The 17,780-nt window shown below is 49.4% G+C and overlaps 1 protein-coding gene and 1 non-coding gene across 6 annotated transcripts in view, besides 3 other annotated features; both read right to left on the bottom strand.

Moving 5' to 3' along the window:
• The window catches only part of ARL10 (ARF like GTPase 10), a 49,577-nt gene extending 32,648 nt beyond the window's left edge, over window positions 1-16,929 (bottom strand). For 2 of the 5 annotated variants that reach the window (XM_011534529.4, XM_011534530.4), the window contains exons 1-3: window positions 16,670-16,929; window positions 15,835-16,036; window positions 13,434-13,609 (exon numbers count right to left, since the gene is read on the bottom strand). In XM_011534529.4, coding sequence (XP_011532831.1) covers window positions 13,434-13,609; window positions 15,835-16,036; window positions 16,670-16,852 — 561 coding nt within the window. In that variant the 5' untranslated portion in view covers window positions 16,853-16,929. Of the gene's footprint in view, window positions 1-506; window positions 10,695-12,459; window positions 13,610-15,834; window positions 16,037-16,669 lie in introns of those variants that run through there. The other 3 variants (NM_173664.6, XM_011534531.4, NM_001317948.2) reach the window with 3 other exon arrangements.
• Window positions 3,594-3,758: a silencer, noted in NCBI's record as "fragment chr5:175805661-175805825 (GRCh37/hg19 assembly coordinates)". NCBI's record gives its function as "represses an EF-1alpha promoter that drives an FKBP-Casp9 reporter gene in an ReSE screen in HepG2 liver carcinoma cells {active_cell/tissue: HepG2}" and the evidence as "EXISTENCE:reporter gene assay evidence [ECO:0000049][PMID:32094911]".
• MIR1271 (microRNA 1271) lies at window positions 14,385-14,470 on the bottom strand. The gene has a single exon (NR_031569.1). It is a non-coding gene; the product is annotated as a microRNA 1271 (primary transcript).
• Window positions 16,675-17,064: a silencer, noted in NCBI's record as "silent region_16649". NCBI's record gives its function as "represses an Ori minimal core promoter by ATAC-STARR-seq in GM12878 lymphoblastoid cells {active_cell/tissue: GM12878}" and the evidence as "EXISTENCE:reporter gene assay evidence [ECO:0000049][PMID:35858748]".
• Window positions 17,215-17,464: an enhancer, noted in NCBI's record as "active region_23681". NCBI's record gives its function as "activates an Ori minimal core promoter by ATAC-STARR-seq in GM12878 lymphoblastoid cells {active_cell/tissue: GM12878}" and the evidence as "EXISTENCE:reporter gene assay evidence [ECO:0000049][PMID:35858748]".

The raw sequence follows: 17,780 nt of genomic DNA, 5'->3' as shown, positions 1-17,780 counted from the left end.
CCAGCCATCTCTGTTGGAACATGAGAGCTGCCCAAACATTTCACTCTGTTCCCAAGCTCAGCTAGGTTGGCAGCTGTTGGGTTTAGGCAGTGGGGGGAACACAGTATCACCCAGGCTAGATCGTTCTGAGATGAGCAGCTCCAGGTAACTGGACTGGTTCCCAAGAGCAGGTGATTGTGGCTCCTGAATCACAAAGTCATATTCAGGAGCAGCTGGGTAAGGGCACCACAGAGCCAGTTAGGTGAGGTTCTTAAGGCCTGTTCACCCACTTTGCCCAGTCTACGTGTGGTAGAAACCAAAGCAGATGAGCACTGTGGCACTGTGCCTTGAGGACAGGCCAGCAGCCCTGCCAGAGGAGCACAGCTGCTGACCACCAACCCACAGGCTCTAGGACACCTACATTCTGTACCAGTATCAGAGAGCGGTGACACTCTGGATCTTCAGTGCCCTCAGTGTGCTGCTGGGACCTGAGGTTTTGAGAGTGGTCTTGATAAAAGCAGCTCAAGTAAACATAATGAAACTTTATTCTTCAAGTTCACCTCCCACAACTGGGGACTTTAAAAATTGTACAATATATTCATTAGACTCAGACAGATCTTCATTAGGTAAAAAGGGACCCCAGGGACCCCCTCAACAATTAGTGCTGGTTCCAAAGGTGACCTTTGTTAAGTTTGGCCTAAAGCTGCCTCTGTACATAGTGAATTATAACCTAACTTAATGTGTAAACACCCTGCAACCTGATGTAAGAGTCTACTCTTGTAACAAGTAGTCAGATCTCAGCCAACCATAGGCTGAAGGCTGCCAAAACATGTCCAAAGAAGGCAGACGCCAGACTGCAGCCAGTCAGGCTATCTCTGTATGCCAATTCCGTTTCTTTGCTTATAAATATAGCCTGCACACATTCTGAACCATCGCTTTTGGTCCTGAGCACTACCTGGTTCATGAACCCTTTTCTGCTCTGTTAAAGTTAACTTGTCTATAAAATTTTTCTTTTAACAAACTGGTGTCAGAAGTAGGATCCAAAGTATAACTTCAGCAACCTCCAGGAGCACTGAGTGACCATGCAAAAAAGGTATCTGCCAGGGCCCATTGTGCCCACTGACCCCTCACAGCAACTGGAGGTCATAGTGAGTTCTTCCTAGGATTCTGAGCTCCATAAATTTGTGTTTTGAGCTCTCCAAGTTTATCTGAGCAATTTTTACTGGACTGGGTCCTGGATTGGACTGCATCCCATAATAAACTGGATGGATCCAGTTAGAGGCATTGGGTAGGTTATCCTTTTGATAACGGGTTTGTTTCAATCCAAGGAGTCTGGGACTCCATCTAATTTTATATGTAAGAATTATGGGGCTGGGTGTGGTGGCTGATGCCTGTAATCCCAGCACTTTGGGAGGCTGAGGCAGGAAGATCTCTTGAGCTCACAAGTTTGAGACCAGCCTGGGCAACATGGCAAAACCCCATCTCTACAAAAAATACAGAAGTTAGTTGGGCGTGTGGTGGTGTATGCCTGTAGTCCCAGCTACTCAGGAGGCTGAGGTGGCAAAATCTCTTGTGCCCTGGAGGCAGAGGTTGCAGTAAGCCGAGATCACGCCACTGCACTCCAGCCTGGGCGACAAAACAACACTCTATCTCAAAAAACAAAACAAGTCCGGGTGTGATGGCTCACACCTGTAATCCCAACACTTTGGGAGGCCGAGGCGGGCAAATCACCTCACCTGCCTGGCCAATGTGGCGAAACCCCTCCCTACTAAAAATACAAAAATTAGCTGGGCGGTGGTGCACACCTGTGATCGATCGCAGCTACTCGGGAGGCTGAGAGGCTGAGGCAGGAGAATTGCTTGAACCTGGGAGGCGGAGGTTGCAGTGAGCTGAGATCGTGCCATTGCGCTACAGCCTGGGTGGTGACAGAGTAAGACTCTGTCTCAAAAAAAAAAAAAAAAAAAAACCAAAATTATGGACCCAGAACTTGTTTTTAGAAAAACAGGTTAACCTTACTAGGAACAACTTAGAATTAAAATGGCCACGATGAGGAAACTTTAAATAAAACTGTTTATTTATGGGACACATTAGAAAAGAAAGGATCGAAAACGCCACAAAAACAACGGGATGCATTTTAAATCGGTATGCAGAGGCATCTAAAGGATTATACAAATCTAAAATTGCCTAAAAGATTCTTTACAAAACGCAAATGAAAGGCTCATGCAGCACATGAACCTGGATTGCTCCTTCTCTGTCTCTTCTTTGCCTCGATGCTTTGAGTACAGTAACCCTTTTGCTCAGTTACCTTTTCTCCTTGAGGCTAATGAAAAAGGGGAAGTTGGACAAATGCCTTACAAAGTGAGACTCTCTAGTCAACCAGCCTGCCTGCTGTAACCACTTTTACTCCATGGTCTAAAGCTGAGCTTAGAGCCATCATAAAGACTTAACTAATCCAAGAGAAAATACTCAAAAACGTACTGGAAAATTGAGAATCCTCATAAGAGCTTATGATTCAGGACTCTCTAATCTTTACCAATTTATTCACATGATACTGGTGAAGCTTGAAAATTGACAGCAGGAGCAGAATGGCAACAGCCTGAGGATACTAAAGACCACTCCAAAACCCCAAGAGGAGGCAAAAAGGAACTGGAAGAATTGCTGAAGATCTTTTAAATTCAATCCCTAGGGCTTTTCCACAAAAAATTGATTGGTCAATCACATAATCTTGTGGGCAAAAGAAAGATGAACCGGTTTCAGATTATAGAGCTCATTTAGAAACACTACTTGTGAAACCTGCAGAGACAGAAATGGCATTAACTGCTCTATTTAAAAAGGACTTCATTCAGAACTTCGCAGTCTAATTAAGAAATATAACCAGGATGGAAAGTAACAGATATGGTTGCTCTAGGATTTCCAACTTATACTGAACCCTTCACCTTGTTTGTTCATAAACATAACAATCAGGCATCAGGAGTTCTTACTCAAGAACATAGTTGACCCAGCACTTTGGGAGGCCGAGGCGGGTGGATCACCTGAGGTCAGGAGATCGAGACCAGCCCTGACGAACACGGTGAAACCCCATCTCTACTAAATACAAAAAATAAGCTGGGCGTGGTGGCGGGCACCTGTAATCCCAGCTACTCGGGAGGCTTATGCAGGAGAATCACTTGAACCTGGGAGGCGGAGATTGCAGCGAGCTGAGATTACACCACTGCACTCCAGCTTGGGCAAGAAGAGCAAAACTCCATCTCAAAAAATAAATACATACATACATACATAAAAAAGAACATAGTTGGGAAAGCACAGGCCCATCACATATCATGGCCTGCAATTAGACCCCATAGCTAAGGCATATCCCAATTGTTTAAAGGCAGTGGCAGCAACCCCCAGATTGGTAAAGGGTTCATCTGATCTGGTTTTAGGGAGTGAACTTTTTTTTTTGCAAGTTCCACGTGCTGTGGAAAGTCTATTAAATTCCAGTCAAACCCAGCATTTTTCAGCAAGTAGACCAACATCATTTGAAATTTTTTTTTTTTTTTTTTTTGAGACAGAGTCTCGCTCTGTTGCCCAGGCTGGAGTGCAGTGGCGCGATCTCGGCTCACTGCAAGCTCTGCCTCCTGGGTTCACGCCATTCTCCTGCCTCAGCCTCCCAAGTAGCTGGGACTACAGGTGCCTGCCACCACGCCCGGCGTGAGCCACAGCGCCCGGCCCCCATTTGAAATTATTCTTTGGCAAAATATGTCATTAAAACCCAAAATGAGTTAATAAAAAGCGGACTCTTCCCAGTTTCAGTCAGCTCAAACTGCAGAACTTTTGCTCTCACTTGAGCTTATCATATAGCTAAAGGGAAATCAGAAAATGCTATATACATAGCAGACATGCTATGTATATATACATGCCTTTGCAGTCCACAATTTTGGCATGTTATGGAAACAAAGAGGGTTTCTCACTTCTAGTGGAGCCCCTATTAAAAACAGACTCAAGTGGATGAACTTGCTACTATCCTGTTGCCATCACAAATTGGTATAAGTTCCAAGCTATCTTGAGTAAAGGTGAAAAATAAATAACAAATTCTTATAAGATTGAAGCCCATACATGGAAAGCTGAACCTGAATATCAAGGGACTGCCCTGGCAGATTTTCATGCTAAATCAGATAGTGCTGAAACAGTTAGGATGTGCAAATTGAATGAATGCCACTAGATTGATGACCTTTATGATGACCCATCTAACAGTGCAATGCACCTGATGTGGAAAACCAAAATTGTTATCTGACAGACGTAAACATAATGTTAAGCGTGAACTCATGGAGAGCCTAGATGGCCCCCTGGTCCTTCCTGAGCCCTTGAAACTTCTATTGTTAAAAGCTTTGCACTTGGCCAGGCACGGTGGCTCTTCCCTATAACCCCAGCACTTTGGGAAGCTGAGCTGGACTGACAGCTTGAGCCCAGGAGTTCAAGACCAGCCTGGGCAAGAGGATAAAACCCTCTCTATAAAAATTACAAAAAATTAGCTGGGGATGGTGGCGCACACTGGTAGTCCCAGCTACTCAGGAGACTGAGGTGGGAGGACTGCTTGATCTCTGGAGGTGGAGGTTGTAGTGAGCCATGATTGCACCACTGCATTCCAGCCTGGGTGACAGAGTGAGATCCTGTCTCAAAACAAAAAAACAAAAAACAACCTCTGCACCTCACAAATGAGCAAGATGATCCAGATTATAAAAAATACTGATAGTGTGACCACTGTAAAATGCTGAAATGGGTTATAACCAATATCTGGTTTGTCAAACCCATAATCCAGGGAAGATAATAAAAACTCCAAGTGGTGTATTTCCACCAACACCTGATGGACCATTTGAACGCTTACAGATGGACTTCATTCAACTGCCACCCTCAATTAAGTATCAGTATGTTCTTGTAATAGTTGGCATGTTTTCTGGTTGGATAGAAGCTTTCCTGTGTAGGAGAGCTGATGCTATGGCAGTAGCTAAGGAGTTATAAGAACATGTGTTTCCTTTATGGGGCATCTCTGGAAAAATCTCCAGTGACAGAGGAACTCATTTTATTGGACAAACTATGAAGCAGCTAAATAAAGTGTTAGAAACACAGTGGTACTACCATTGTCCCTTTCACCCTCAGTCTTCTGGAAAGGTCAAAAGGACAAATATTTTAAAACTAAAATTGGCAAAATTAACTGAATCGATTGGATTATCTTGGCCAAAGATACCACCATTGGCTTTGAATTTCATTTTTTTCTGATCTCTGAAGAAGAAAGCCAACCATTGCCTTTGGTCAGCAGATCAGATCCATTCCTACGACAGACACAGATTGACCCCTATGAAATAGTTACTAGAAAGCCTGTGCTCCTAACAGAACTTCACGTAGTTCCTACTCTCCTAAATGCTGATGCCACTAAATACTACAAAGCTGTAATGCATTATGTCACACTGTATTTTGACAAAATAAAATAAACTTTCTGTGACCCACAGAGGACCATCAAAGCCTTCACAATCTGTAACCTGAGACTAGGTCTTCTGGAGATGGTATCAGAGAAAAAGTGCCCTTAAACCTCACAGAAAGAGACAATACCAAGTTCTTCTATTACCCACACTGTGGTAAAACTTCAGGGCTTCGAACCTTGGGTCCACATCTCACAACTCAAAAGGACCTCTCCAGACTCCTGGAACTACACACCTGTTGGAGACTTTAAGGTAAAGCTAACCAGGGAAGTTTTTCCCCAGAAGCAGATCACGTCCTAGACATGAACAGCTTTCCCTAGATGTGGATGAAGACTTCACTGCAATCGCAAAAATCTTATCTTTCTCCCTCTCTTTCCTATTTTCTGTCCGCAAATCCTTTCCCTTTCTTTATGGGAAAATCCGTGGGACCATAATCTGGGGCCGGCTTTAGCAAAGGCTAATGCTCTAGCAAGAAACTGGAGTTCCTGTTGGGTTTGTGACTTAACGCTCAAATCAGGAAACGATTCCATTAATGCCAGTATCTCTCCATTTTCCCAATAAGTCACCCTGAAACCCCAAAGGAAGAGTGGAATGCTAACCTTTTTTTTTTTTTTTTTTTGAGACGGAGTCTCGCTCTGTCTCCCAGGCTAGAGTGCAGTGACGTGATCTCAGCTCACTGCAACCTCTGCCTCCCAAGTTTAAGTGATTCTCATGCCTCAGCCTCCCTAGTAGGTGGGACTACAGGCGCATGCCGTCACACCCAGCTGATTTTTTGTATTTTATAGTAGAGACAGGGTTTCACTGTGTTAGCCAGGATTGTCTCGATCTCCTGACCTCGTGATCCGTCCACCTCAGCCTCCCAGAGTGCTGGGATTACAGGCGTGAGCCACCGCATCCAGCAGCTAACCTTGATATTCTAAACACCACTACTGCTTGCTTCCCTACACTCATTGGAAGTGGTACCCTGACCTTTTCAATTAATAAGTGCCAATATGGAAAAAAACCTGTCCAGGTAATGCCTATGCAAGGAACACTGCCTACACCTATGCTTTCAGGCACCACATATTCAGGACCTGGGAACTACCTATGTGGCTCCAAGCGATTGCTTATATAATGTCACTGGGTTAAATCCAGTAGGGTTCCTTCTCACTGGCTGTGGTTATGCACCCTTACAGCATGCTATAAAGGGACCACATAAAAATAAGTTGCCCACTGGACCTTGTTTAGGAGCTGTGCAGACTTATGGGGGAACATAAGTGACCCCTGCTCAAATGCTACCAGGTGGCCCCCACTTTCCAGCTTCAGAGGGTACATATTAGGTCTGTGGATAATTTGCTTACTCTGTCCTGACTTCAGATCTTGCTGTTTCACCTGATTCATGCTCACCTTGCAAACAGCTTTCCCTGAAAGTCCCCATAATCAGAGGTCAAAGACTAAAATGAATACCAACCTTGAAACAGATGATTAGTTAGTTTCCCCTGAGCAAATATTCCAGTGGAGTTCCTGCGGACTCACTTTTGGCGGCAGTGAGGTGCCAACTGTATGGAAATTAAAGTTAATGCTAAATTGAAAAGAATTTTGTAGCACAGAGATTCGCACAGGTAGAAGCCACAGATGGATGGATGGATGGATGGATGGGTGGATGATGGATGGATGGATGGATGGATGGATGGATGGATGGATGGATGGATGGGTGGATGGATGGATGGGTGGATGGGTGGATGGATGGAAGGATGGATGGATGGATGGATGGATGGGTGGATGGGTGGATGAGTGGATGGATGGATGGATGGGTGGATGGGTGGGTGGGTGGGTGGATGGATGGGTGGGTGGGTGGATGGGTGGACGGGTGGACGGGTGGACGGATGGAGGGATGGATGGATGGATGGATGGATGGATGGATGAGGCCACCTGTGTTCAACAAAAACACGTAATGGAACTTCATGCAGCTTTAGATTTCCTTTGCCCAGCTAGGAGCTTGTGTATGGTGCTGAACAAAACTGAACGCTGTGCTTATCTTTCCTGATTCTACTACTATGGAGAGCTTCAAAAGGCGGTGGTGGCTGCCGCTTCTGTAGATACTGCCACCAAACACATCAAGGATATTTCTCAGGGAAAAGGAACACATAATGTGTTTGCAGGAGCAGCTAGTGGTTGGTTTGCAGGCATCCTGAATGGTAGACAGCAAGCTTAGCTGTTCAAGGTTTTCTAATCTTCATGTTTCTTTTAGTGGGTATCCCAATCACCATGACTTGTGTTACCAAAAGCTAACTAAAAAATCAAACACTTTACAATTAAGGTACTTCATAGTGAACTATGTCCTTAATTGCCATTATACCCTGAACAGGCTATGAGCAGCAGAGCTTGCACGCTGTTGAACTATTTTTATCGTCTGAACTTGAGTTGTTTGATTCCAATCAGTTTGGTTTGTGGAGACTCATATTAAGGGATGCATTCCAGTTTCTTGGTATTACACTCCTGATAGCCATCCTAAGGTCCCCACTGATGTGTTGTAGTCTTAAGTACACCAATGCAGTCATCCTTTGTACCTCAAATGGTCTCATTACGGTTAGAGTAACAGAAACATGAAGACATACAGAATCCGCTAACTGATTTAACATTGTAAACTGTGAGTTCCATAATGAGGTCAAATAGTGACAGAAGGTAGTGTCAGTGCGTGGGATTTTGGTCAATCTCTCAAAATTAAGGGGCTGAGCAAAATGAGGGACACTGTGAAGCTGAATTAAGTCTGGCCTAAAGCTGCCTCTGTACACAGTGAATTGTAACTTAACGTGTAAACAACTCGTAACCTAACCTAAAAGTATGTTCTTCTAACAAGTAGCCGAATTTTAGCCAATCACAGCAGCCAAACCTTCAGTCAATCGTCGGCTGAAGGCTGCTAAAACATGTTCAGGTAAGGCAAATGCCAGACTGCAGCCAATCAGGCAACCTAAGTTATTTTCGTTTCTCTGGCTATAAATGTAGCCTACACACATTGTGGGGCTGAGCATTCTGAACTGCTTTTGGTGCTAAGTACTAACCAGTTCACGAATCTTTTTTCTGCTCAAAAACAGAACATACTTTTTAAACTTCGTTAAAGTTGTCTAAGGTTTTTTTGCCTTCAAGCCCTGAAGAACAAGGAGTTCATAGAACAAAGGAGAAAAGTCTCTTAGCCTTCCAATGACAAAATGAAAAGCTGCCAGCAAAGTTTCAAAGGCTACTCTGAAACCCAAGTCATTCTTAAAATTTTACATAAAAGCCCATAAATCACTTCTTACTGCAGAAAGTGAACCAGCACTTTCAAGAACAGTGATTCTTCAAATGGCGCCCAAGGGCACAGCAGCCACTATTCCAAAGATCACACTCGCTTCTGGACTTCAGAATTTCCCACCCTCCTTGCGGCTTGTTGAACTGTTTTTATCATAGTTCCTCTTCTTACACTGGTCACGGTGTGGAACTGAGGCATGCTGGGTAAATGTCAAATGAAATGAAGGCACACAATCTCTATTCTCAACTAGACAGCAAATTGAGGTGCACAGCTCCTCTTAAAAAAAAAATCCATTTGTGGTTGTTGATTTAGTGGTCCCTAACAGACAACAGGCTCCTCTTTGCCTGTACCGATAATAAGTGTCAGTACAGAGCCAGTCCTTCAATTGGGCTGATCGCCAAGCACTGGAGAACTATGGAATGTGCACTGATGAGAACTCCAGAAATTCAGTCCAACTTGGCTTTCACTGGGGAAAAATTGGGTCCAGAAAGGCTGAGTGATGTACCCAAGGCCATCCCGTTGGCTGGTCTGCTATTCCTGTCCTTAGGATCACATAATACAATTTTTTTCCATCTTTTTACCTAGATTCACATAAGGGAAATCCTCTCCCAGAGTCATTTCTTATCTACCCAGAAGGAATTTGCACCCTTTCAACATCCTGGGCCAAGTGGTGGCGTTTCAGTTCATGTGAATCCATGTAAAGTACTATGATATCGACGACAGCCTCAAAGCCAGGTGGGAGGAGGAACCCACAACTTTGTCTCCACTGACATCTGTATGTTATCTCATTGTCATTCATGATTCCAGCTATTTTCCTAAGTTCCAAATTTTCTATGACTGTCATCTGGGGTTTTGAAAACAGCACCTAGAAACAGAGCCTAGAACTCTGGCCTGTTCTGCTTATAAATTAATAAATAAAATGCAGTTCTGAGGTCAACACCTAGCTCCAGTTGACTGTCGTCCCAGGGACACAGGCTCCTTCCTTCCCCTGACTTCTGTAAACATGGGCACTGGCACAGTTAGTACGAGAGCAGCAGCTTGTCTCCAGATTAGAGGGGAAAAACCCAGCCTTCACTTTTTCTGTTTGGTGGGTGAATATCAGTTATTCTGTAGTCAAGAGAGGCTGGCAGGCCAGGCCTGGGCTCAGGGAAAGGCAGGGAGGTCTTCAGAAAGCTCCTTGCTAGGATGGCCAGGTTCATCCTAGCACTTCACACTCCCATGGCTGGGAAAGGCATCTCCGAATTAGGAAACCACCTCCCTTTAAAAATAATGGCCCTGGGGTCAGAGAGGCAGAGATTGCACAAGGCCACAAGTCACTTAGGTGGAGCTGGGGCTGGACAATGCAGGACAGGAACAAAGGCTTGCTGTGTCACCACTCAGAAGCTGCCCACATGAGAAGGGCATGACGTCACCAGACTGTTTCTGGACTGGGAGACCTTGAGGCTCTAGGAGTATTTCTGACACCTACACTGGTTCCTCAGGTACCGGGACCTGTAGTGGAGGATTGAGCCCACTGAGCATCTCACTGTACAGGTAAGAGAAGGGAAAGCTGGATCCACATTCCAGCCTGGAATGAGCCAGACACTATCCTCCCCACCCTCTGTCTCACCCACCTCCCTGCTTCGGCTTCACGGCCACCTCACCAGGAAGGCTTCTGCATGGTTCTTGGCCTTGCCCAGGCCCTGCTCTTGAAAGGCAAAGGAGGGGAAAAGGGAAATGCTGCCATGTGGCTCTTGCCCCAGGCCCAGTCTGGCAATGAAGCAGCAGCAGTACAACTATGGTCTTGACAGGCAGGTGGCAAGCAGGAGAGCTCCAGCCTAGGAGAGGAGCTCCAAGAGCAGTTTCCAGATGTGCACGGTGCCAGGCTCTTCAAAGGTGGGTCCTGCAGGGGCAATGCTGGCTGCCAAGAGGAAAACCTCCCGCTGGTTATCGATAGCCTGTAGACCCAGCTCCCGCTGCAGCTCCCCCATACTCATGGCCTCGCTCAGGTCCTGGGTGAGACACAGAAGTCCGAACACAGCTGGCAGCATTTCCTAACACACTGACACCCTTGTCGTTCATGAAACACACTGTTCTTAGGCTATCCCCGGGAATATCAGGAAACACACTGTTCTTAGGCTATCCCCGGGAATATCAGGAAACACACTGTTCTTAGGCTATCCCCGGGAATATCAGGAAACACACTGTTCTTAGGCTATCCCCGGGAATATCAGGCCCCAAGTTCCCAGAAGTAGCCTCTGGACCCCTTGGCCTAAACTCAATGCTCTCTCCCTCACCCTGGGCTCTCCTTTGTACCAACCTCTTTTCATTGCATCATTAGCCACTGTTTTGAGACGGAGTTTTGCTCTGTCACCCAGGCTGGAGTGCAGTGGCACGATCTTGGCTCACTGCAACCTCCACCTCCTGTGGTGGAATCCTGAAGCGATTCTCCTGCTTCAGCCTCCCTAGTAGCTGGGACTACAGGTGTGAGCCACCACGCCTGGCTAATTTTTGTATTTTTAGTAGAGACGGGGTTTCGCCGTGCTGGCCAGGCTGGTCTCGAACTCCTGACCTCAGGTGATCCACCTGCCTCAGCCTCCCAAAGTGCTGGGATTACAGGCATGAGCCACCACGCCCGGCTAGAAATAGAGCACTTCCTATGTGTCAAGCATTGTAGATAGGCCCGTATATACTTCAGCTTATTTAATGTTCACAGTCCACACTTAATTGATGAGAAAAGTAGCTCAGGGAGGTGACATCATTGAGCTAAGGTAACAGTGATAGGTGGTAGAGCCAGGTGCCAACTCAGGTTGGTTTGATAACCAAGTTTCCTAAACTCAGTCATGGAGAGATGATACAGTAGGATCACTTCCAGACAAGACCTCTAGAAACTAGCTGGAGGAAAACAAGGGACCACTACACAGCATGACTGGTGATGGTATGTTGTAATTTCAACCCTGGCCCAAGATTTAAATGATTCTTCCTGGAGCAATTCAGAGACTGCTGGGACCTTAGATGTTGTCTCCTACAGGTTCAAAACTGCTATAAATTAGTTTATAAATAGGACATGATGTGATTCCTGGTCCAAACTGGGGCAATCTGAGGCTCAGAGCGGGCACTATTAATAGTGCCAGAACAAGAGTCGTAAATGGGGACTGTCTTGGACAGAAAAGGACATACAGTCACCCTATTTATAAATAATTGTCAAATGTTTCCTAATAGGTTGGGGAATCTGAGGTCGAAGACATACAGTCTCTCTCCATGTCAAGTTGGAAACAGGTCCCACAGCTCTCAGAGGCACCTGAGTTTAGGCCACAGGAAATATGATCAGACTCTGTACTCTGGCAGTTTCACCTGATATTGAGAATGGGACCCAAGGTCTGTGATACTGAGGGTTCCTGGGCCCAAGGCGACTCTCTGGCACCCAAGAGAGGTACAGCACACTGGTTAAGAGGAGGAACTTTGAAGAATATCTGAGTTCAAGTTTGGGCTTTGCCACATGCCAGCTGCAACTCCAGGTATTTAGTGTAACAGCAGGGCCTATCACGAGGTATTTAGAGGGAAGTGAGGTCATGATTGTCAGGTGCTTACCACATGTATGGCACACCGTAAGCACACAATAAATGTTAGCTGTTATTTAACCTGTTCTACCTCTCATCAGTTACCAGCTTCAGCTCTCTGATCTAGAGCCAGAATTTGCAAGGGCATAGCAGAGTGGAAAAGGTACAGCTTTAGCATTACACGTCCCAATTCCACTATTTTTTTTTTTTTTTTTGAGATAGGGTCTCGCTGTGTCACCCAGGCTGGAGTGCAGTAGTGTGATCACAGCTCACTGCAGCCTCGACCTCCTGGGTTCAAGTGATCTTTCTGCCTCAGCCTCTAAAGTAGCTGGCACTATAGGCAGGCACCACCACACCCAGTTAATTTTTTGCATTTTTTTTGTAGAGACGGAGTTTCACCATGTTGCCCAGGCTGGTCTCGAACTCCTGGAATCAAATGATCCACCTTCCTTGGCCTCTCAAAGTGTTGGAGGTAGAGGTTTGAGCCACCACGCCTGGACCAATTCTATTACTCTCAAGATGTACAACCTTGGAAAGATTATAAGACTAGCCTGTCCCATCTATAAAATGGGAATAGCATCCCATACTTTATAGGGTCAACAGAAGCATAAGAAGAAATGTTATTCAAAACCACACCTGGGGGCCAGACACAGTGACTCATGCCTATAATTCCAGCACTTTGGGAAGCTGAGGCGGGCGGATCACTTGAGGTCAGGAGTTCAAGACCAGCCTGGCCAACATGGCAAAACTCCACCTCTACTAAAAATACAAAAATTGGCTGGGTGTGGTGGCACATACCTGTAATCCCAGCTACTCGGAAGGCTGAGGCACAAGAATTGCTTGAACCCGGGAGGTGGAGGTTGCAGTGAGCCGAGATCACACCACTGCATTCCAGCCTGGGCGACAGAACAAGACTCTGTCTCAAAAAAAAAACAAAAACAAAACACCATGCCTGGCATATAGGAGGCACTTAATAATTATTTTTCTCATCTCTCCAGAGTACGAGATGATAGGGAGGCAAAGAGGAAGGAAGACAGAGGCAGGGATCAGGACAGGGCATAGGTAGAAGAGGTGGGGGCAGCATCTCAGCCACCCTCTCCAGGCCATGGGCCCAGGCAGCGCTCCTTGCCCCTGCCCAAGCATCTCTGAGTGGATGTCACCTGGACCGAGCTGCCCTCTCACAGCCCTCACCTGCTTGTTGGCCACCACGACGACAGGCAGGTCAGGGTCCTTGTCCAGCAGCTTGTGCAGCTCCTGTCGGGCCCAGGGCAGCCGCAGTCGGTCAGCCGAGTCCACCACAAACACCAGCACATCCACCTCGCTCACAAACTCCTTCCAGTAGAAGCGCAGGTTCTGGCTGCCCCCAACTGAGGAGAGGCCAGGGGCCAGCTCAGAGCCTCCCGGGCCCCCGCTCACTGCCCACAGCCCCCACCCCACCCCGGGCCCCCGCTCACTGCCCACAGCCCCCACCCCACCCCGGGCCCCCGCTCACTGCCCACAGCCCCCACCCCACCCTGCTTCTAGCTTAGTGAGCTTCCACCAGCCGGGGGCAAGGAAAAGACCGCAGTTTCCGCAGCTACTCAGACTGGATTTAGCTCTAGCTCTGATAGGCGGGTCTCTTGGGGCAAGTCCCTAGCTTTAAGCACCAGTCTCCTCACTGAACTTTCCTAACGGGTTGTTGCAGTAAAACCCACAGGTACCACGTGCGATGTACCTTTCACGGGACTGACACACAGGTGCTCAGTAAATGGAAGTCTTCAGTTCTCTCCCCTGGGTTGTCTGGCTTTGCCTCTTGCTAATTCCTAGCTTTCTCCTACAGGTTCAAAACTGTCAGTGATGGCTGTGACAGGAGCCAGGAGTCCTATTGTCTAGAAAACTCAGGACCCCCTGCCCTGCCTATACACAGCCATTCTCCATTCAGTTTCCCCCATCCCCTTCTTTTCCCTTGGAAATGTCATATTTCATCCTATGAACACATGGTTGCCAACACAGTCCCCCAGCCTGGATCACCTTTCTTTTCCTCTCTGCTCCTCTGCACAGTCCCATTGGTCACCCCGCACCCTAGTGTTTCTGGCTATGTTTCTGACACTTGAGGATTCTAAGCTGTGAGAGTCAGAGGCACTTACCTCTGAATCCCCACAAAGCCCTCAGCACAATGCCTGGCACATAGCAGGCACTCAACAAATATTTACTGAGTGCTTGCTAGGTGCCAAGCACTGATCTGGGTGCTGCAGATACAGAGGTGAGCAAGGCAAGCAGGGGCCCTGCACCAAGGAGCTCCCTCCCTAACTGGGAAGGACATGGCAATGACATCAACACATTTCAAAAAGGAAAGAAATAAAACAGAAAAAAGGGAAAGTGGCTGAGGTGGAACAGGGGTTGGCCCTGGATTGGGTGGTCTGGGTAGGTCTCATCAAGGAAGTGGCATGTGAGCTGAGTGGGATGATGAGAAGGAGCCAGCCATGGGAAGAGGCAGAGGAAAGCATTCCAGACAGAGGGGAGAGCATGCTGGAAGTGTCTGGGAAACAGAAAGAAGGCTGGGGTGCTGAGGCACTGCAAGAAGGAGAAAGAGATGGCTGTGAGGCTGGCTGGGGCGGGCCACATGGGGCCAAAGACCACAGTGAGGGGGTGGGGAGCCCCCCAAGGGCTTTAAGCAAGAGTGACATTACCTGACATGGGTTTTCTCTAGCTGACACTAGGGACAGAAGGGGAAGCAGGAAGACCAAAGAGGAGGCTGTGGTGCTGAGAGGAAAGATGACACTAGTTTGGGCCAGACAGGCAATAGTGGAGGAGGGTGTGCCACTGCCCACTGCCATTCCAGCCTGGGCGACAGAGACCCTGTCTCCAAAAAAAAAAAACTAGAATGGTGGGGTGCGATGGCTTACGCCTGTAATCCCAGCACTTTGGGAGGTCGAAGCGGGCAGATCACTTGAGGTCAGGAGTTCAAGACTAGCCTGACCAATGTGGTGAAACCCCCGTCTCTACTAAAAATACAAAAATTAGCCGGGCGTGGTGGCGGGCGCCTGTAATCCCAGCTGCTCAGGAGGCTGAAGCTGGAGAATCGCTTGAACCCGGGAGGAGGAGGTTGCAGTGAGCCGAGACAGCGCCATTGCACTCCAGCCTGGGTGTCACAGTGAGACTCCATCTCAAAAAAAAAAAAAAAAAAAAAAAGACTAGAAAGGTGGGTGACCTTGGATTCATGATACTACTGCTGGAACTCATTTTCCTCTGGAGATAACGAGGGTAGTGACCGATTCTAGTTTTATGTAATTGTTTAGGGGAGTTTTCTTAAGCAATGCCCGTCAAGTGCTTGGCATATGAACCCTTAGCTGTTAGTATCTCTGTGTTAGGCCTATCGACTTTGGTAGGGGTGATGGGGCAGGCGGTGCAGCTGGAGAGGCCCGATCACGAAGGGCCCTAAATGTCAGAGCACAGAGCGTGGGCTGAATCCTGTGCCCCGGAGAGCGGTGGGAAGGATTCGTAGAGGGGAATGTGCTGCTTAGACATGCATTTTGGAAGCCCCCTTCCCTGCAGAGAATCCAGGACTGGTCCAGTAGAGGAGACGGGGAGATGGGGTAGGGTGTCCGCTCACTTTCTAGCAGGTCCACCTCAAAGTCCTTGGTGGGCAGACGCACGGAGTTGAAGCCCCAGGTGGGGATGTGGCCTTCCAGCGGTGGCTTCCCCGACAACACGCGCAGGAACGTGCTCTTGCCTGCGCCATCCAGCCCCAGCACCAGCACCTCGCGCTGTTCCAGCTCCTCCAGCGCCGGCTCCTCGTCCTCCTCGTCCTCGGGCTGCGGGGAAGCGGAGGTAAGGTTGCGGCTGGCGGCCTCCCGAAGGACCTTTCCCGAGGGAAGACCGAAGGCACCAGAGGGCCCAGGCCCGCCTTCCACCCGTCCTGGGACAGGCAGGCATGGTCTGGATGAGTGGGACGAACGCCGCCTTTGCAGTCCTGAATTCCAAACCCTTGGCGAATTCCTTAAACGCTCGCGCGCCCCGCTTCCTCCACCGGTCTCGGAGTCCCGACCGCAGGCGGGAGGGGATGGGGTTTCTCCCGACATCCCCACCCCCGGGCGGGGTGCACTGCGCAGGCGCCGGAGGGGCGCGAGCCGACCCGGCTGGGCCCCGGGATGCTCCCGAGCCGCGCCCTCCAAACTCCGGCCCCCGCTGGAACACCCGAGCCTCATGGCGTGGAGCGACGGCGTGGCGCCAAGGCGCCGCACGCACCCAAGCACACCCACCCGTTCCTCGGTTCCCGGGCTCTGACCGCCCACCCGCGCGGGGCCTGTGCGCTGCGGCTGCCAAGCCCTCGACCCCCCAAGCTCCCGGCACCAGCAGGGCCGTTCCGTGGTCACACCCCTTGGCCACATGCGCGGAGTCGCAGCCCAGCCTGCCCGCCCTTCCGCAGGCCTCGGCCCGGCACTCACGTCCCACTCGTCCCACTCGGGGAGGCGGGCAGCCTCCGCGCCCCACCAGGCCTCTCCCCGGTCCCAGCGCCGCTCTCGGCCGCGGCCGAAGTAGGTCTTCCAGAGGATGAAGAGCACCGAGCCCAGCACCGCCGCGGCGCCGCCCAGCGCCAGCACCAAGGGGCCCAGCGGCCGCGGCGCCATCGGGCCGGGCGAGGGACGCAGGTGCGGGTTGCACAGGCCGAGCCCACTCGCCCGCCGAAGATGGCCCCGCTGCGACTGCTGCGGCCGCGCCCACCCACCCAGACCCAGTCCCGCACTACAAGCCCCACAATGCACTGCCGCTGTCACGGCAGGCCGCCCGGGACCCGGCGGCGTGGGTGGTGGGGCGCTGGCCGGCGCGCGGGGACCTCCGGTCCCCCTGCCAGGTGCAGGGTGGAGGAAGGAGAGGCTGTGCCTGGGGAGGACGGGAGACGGCGGTGCTTGCTAGCATCCACCAGGGGTTAGCTCACGGCTTTTCTCCGTTACCCCTTACAATGATACCACGCAGAAGGGAAAACCGAGGCCCAGGAGTTAAGTAACCCGCCCAACGCCGCATCGTAGTGCTTTGGTGTAGCCTGCGTTCAAACCCAAGCGATCTGTCTCCCGGTCATCCCTCAAGACCTCGGGAGGAAATTGAAGCAAGACGCCCGATATCACACGGCAGTGGGGTGGCAGAGGCAGGAATAGAACCCAGGTCCGTGGCTCCCCGCCACCTCTAGCCTTCTTTCGCTGCCTCCCGGACCACAGGGGTTTTGCTGGGGTCCTGGTCAGGCTGAATTAAGCAGTGTCAGGACTTCAGAATGTTTAGGGCTGACTGCCTTGTCCTAGGTACCCCCAGTGACTGCCAAGGCTTCCACGTGTGTAGCACGAGGAGGAAGAACAGGAGAAACGACCTGAGTACAGCAGTCGGGTTCTTTTGGCTCTCCAGAGGGGTGACGCCATGTACGGCTGGCTGTAGGGTACATGGGTCGAGAGACCGCCTGTGGCTCTCAGGGCCCAGCAGGGCTACCTCTTCCCCTTTATATTGTCTCAACTCTTCACCTCCTTTTAGTTTGCGATTCCTCTGTACCCCTGGCTCTGGGTCCCAGCC

The sequence above is a fragment of the Homo sapiens genome, chromosome 5, assembly GCF_000001405.40.
Source record: "Homo sapiens chromosome 5, GRCh38.p14 Primary Assembly".
NCBI classification, from domain to species: domain Eukaryota; kingdom Metazoa; phylum Chordata; class Mammalia; order Primates; family Hominidae; genus Homo; species Homo sapiens.
The sequence above is the reverse complement of the archived record's forward strand: the minus strand, read 5'-3'. Positions and strand labels throughout refer to the sequence as shown.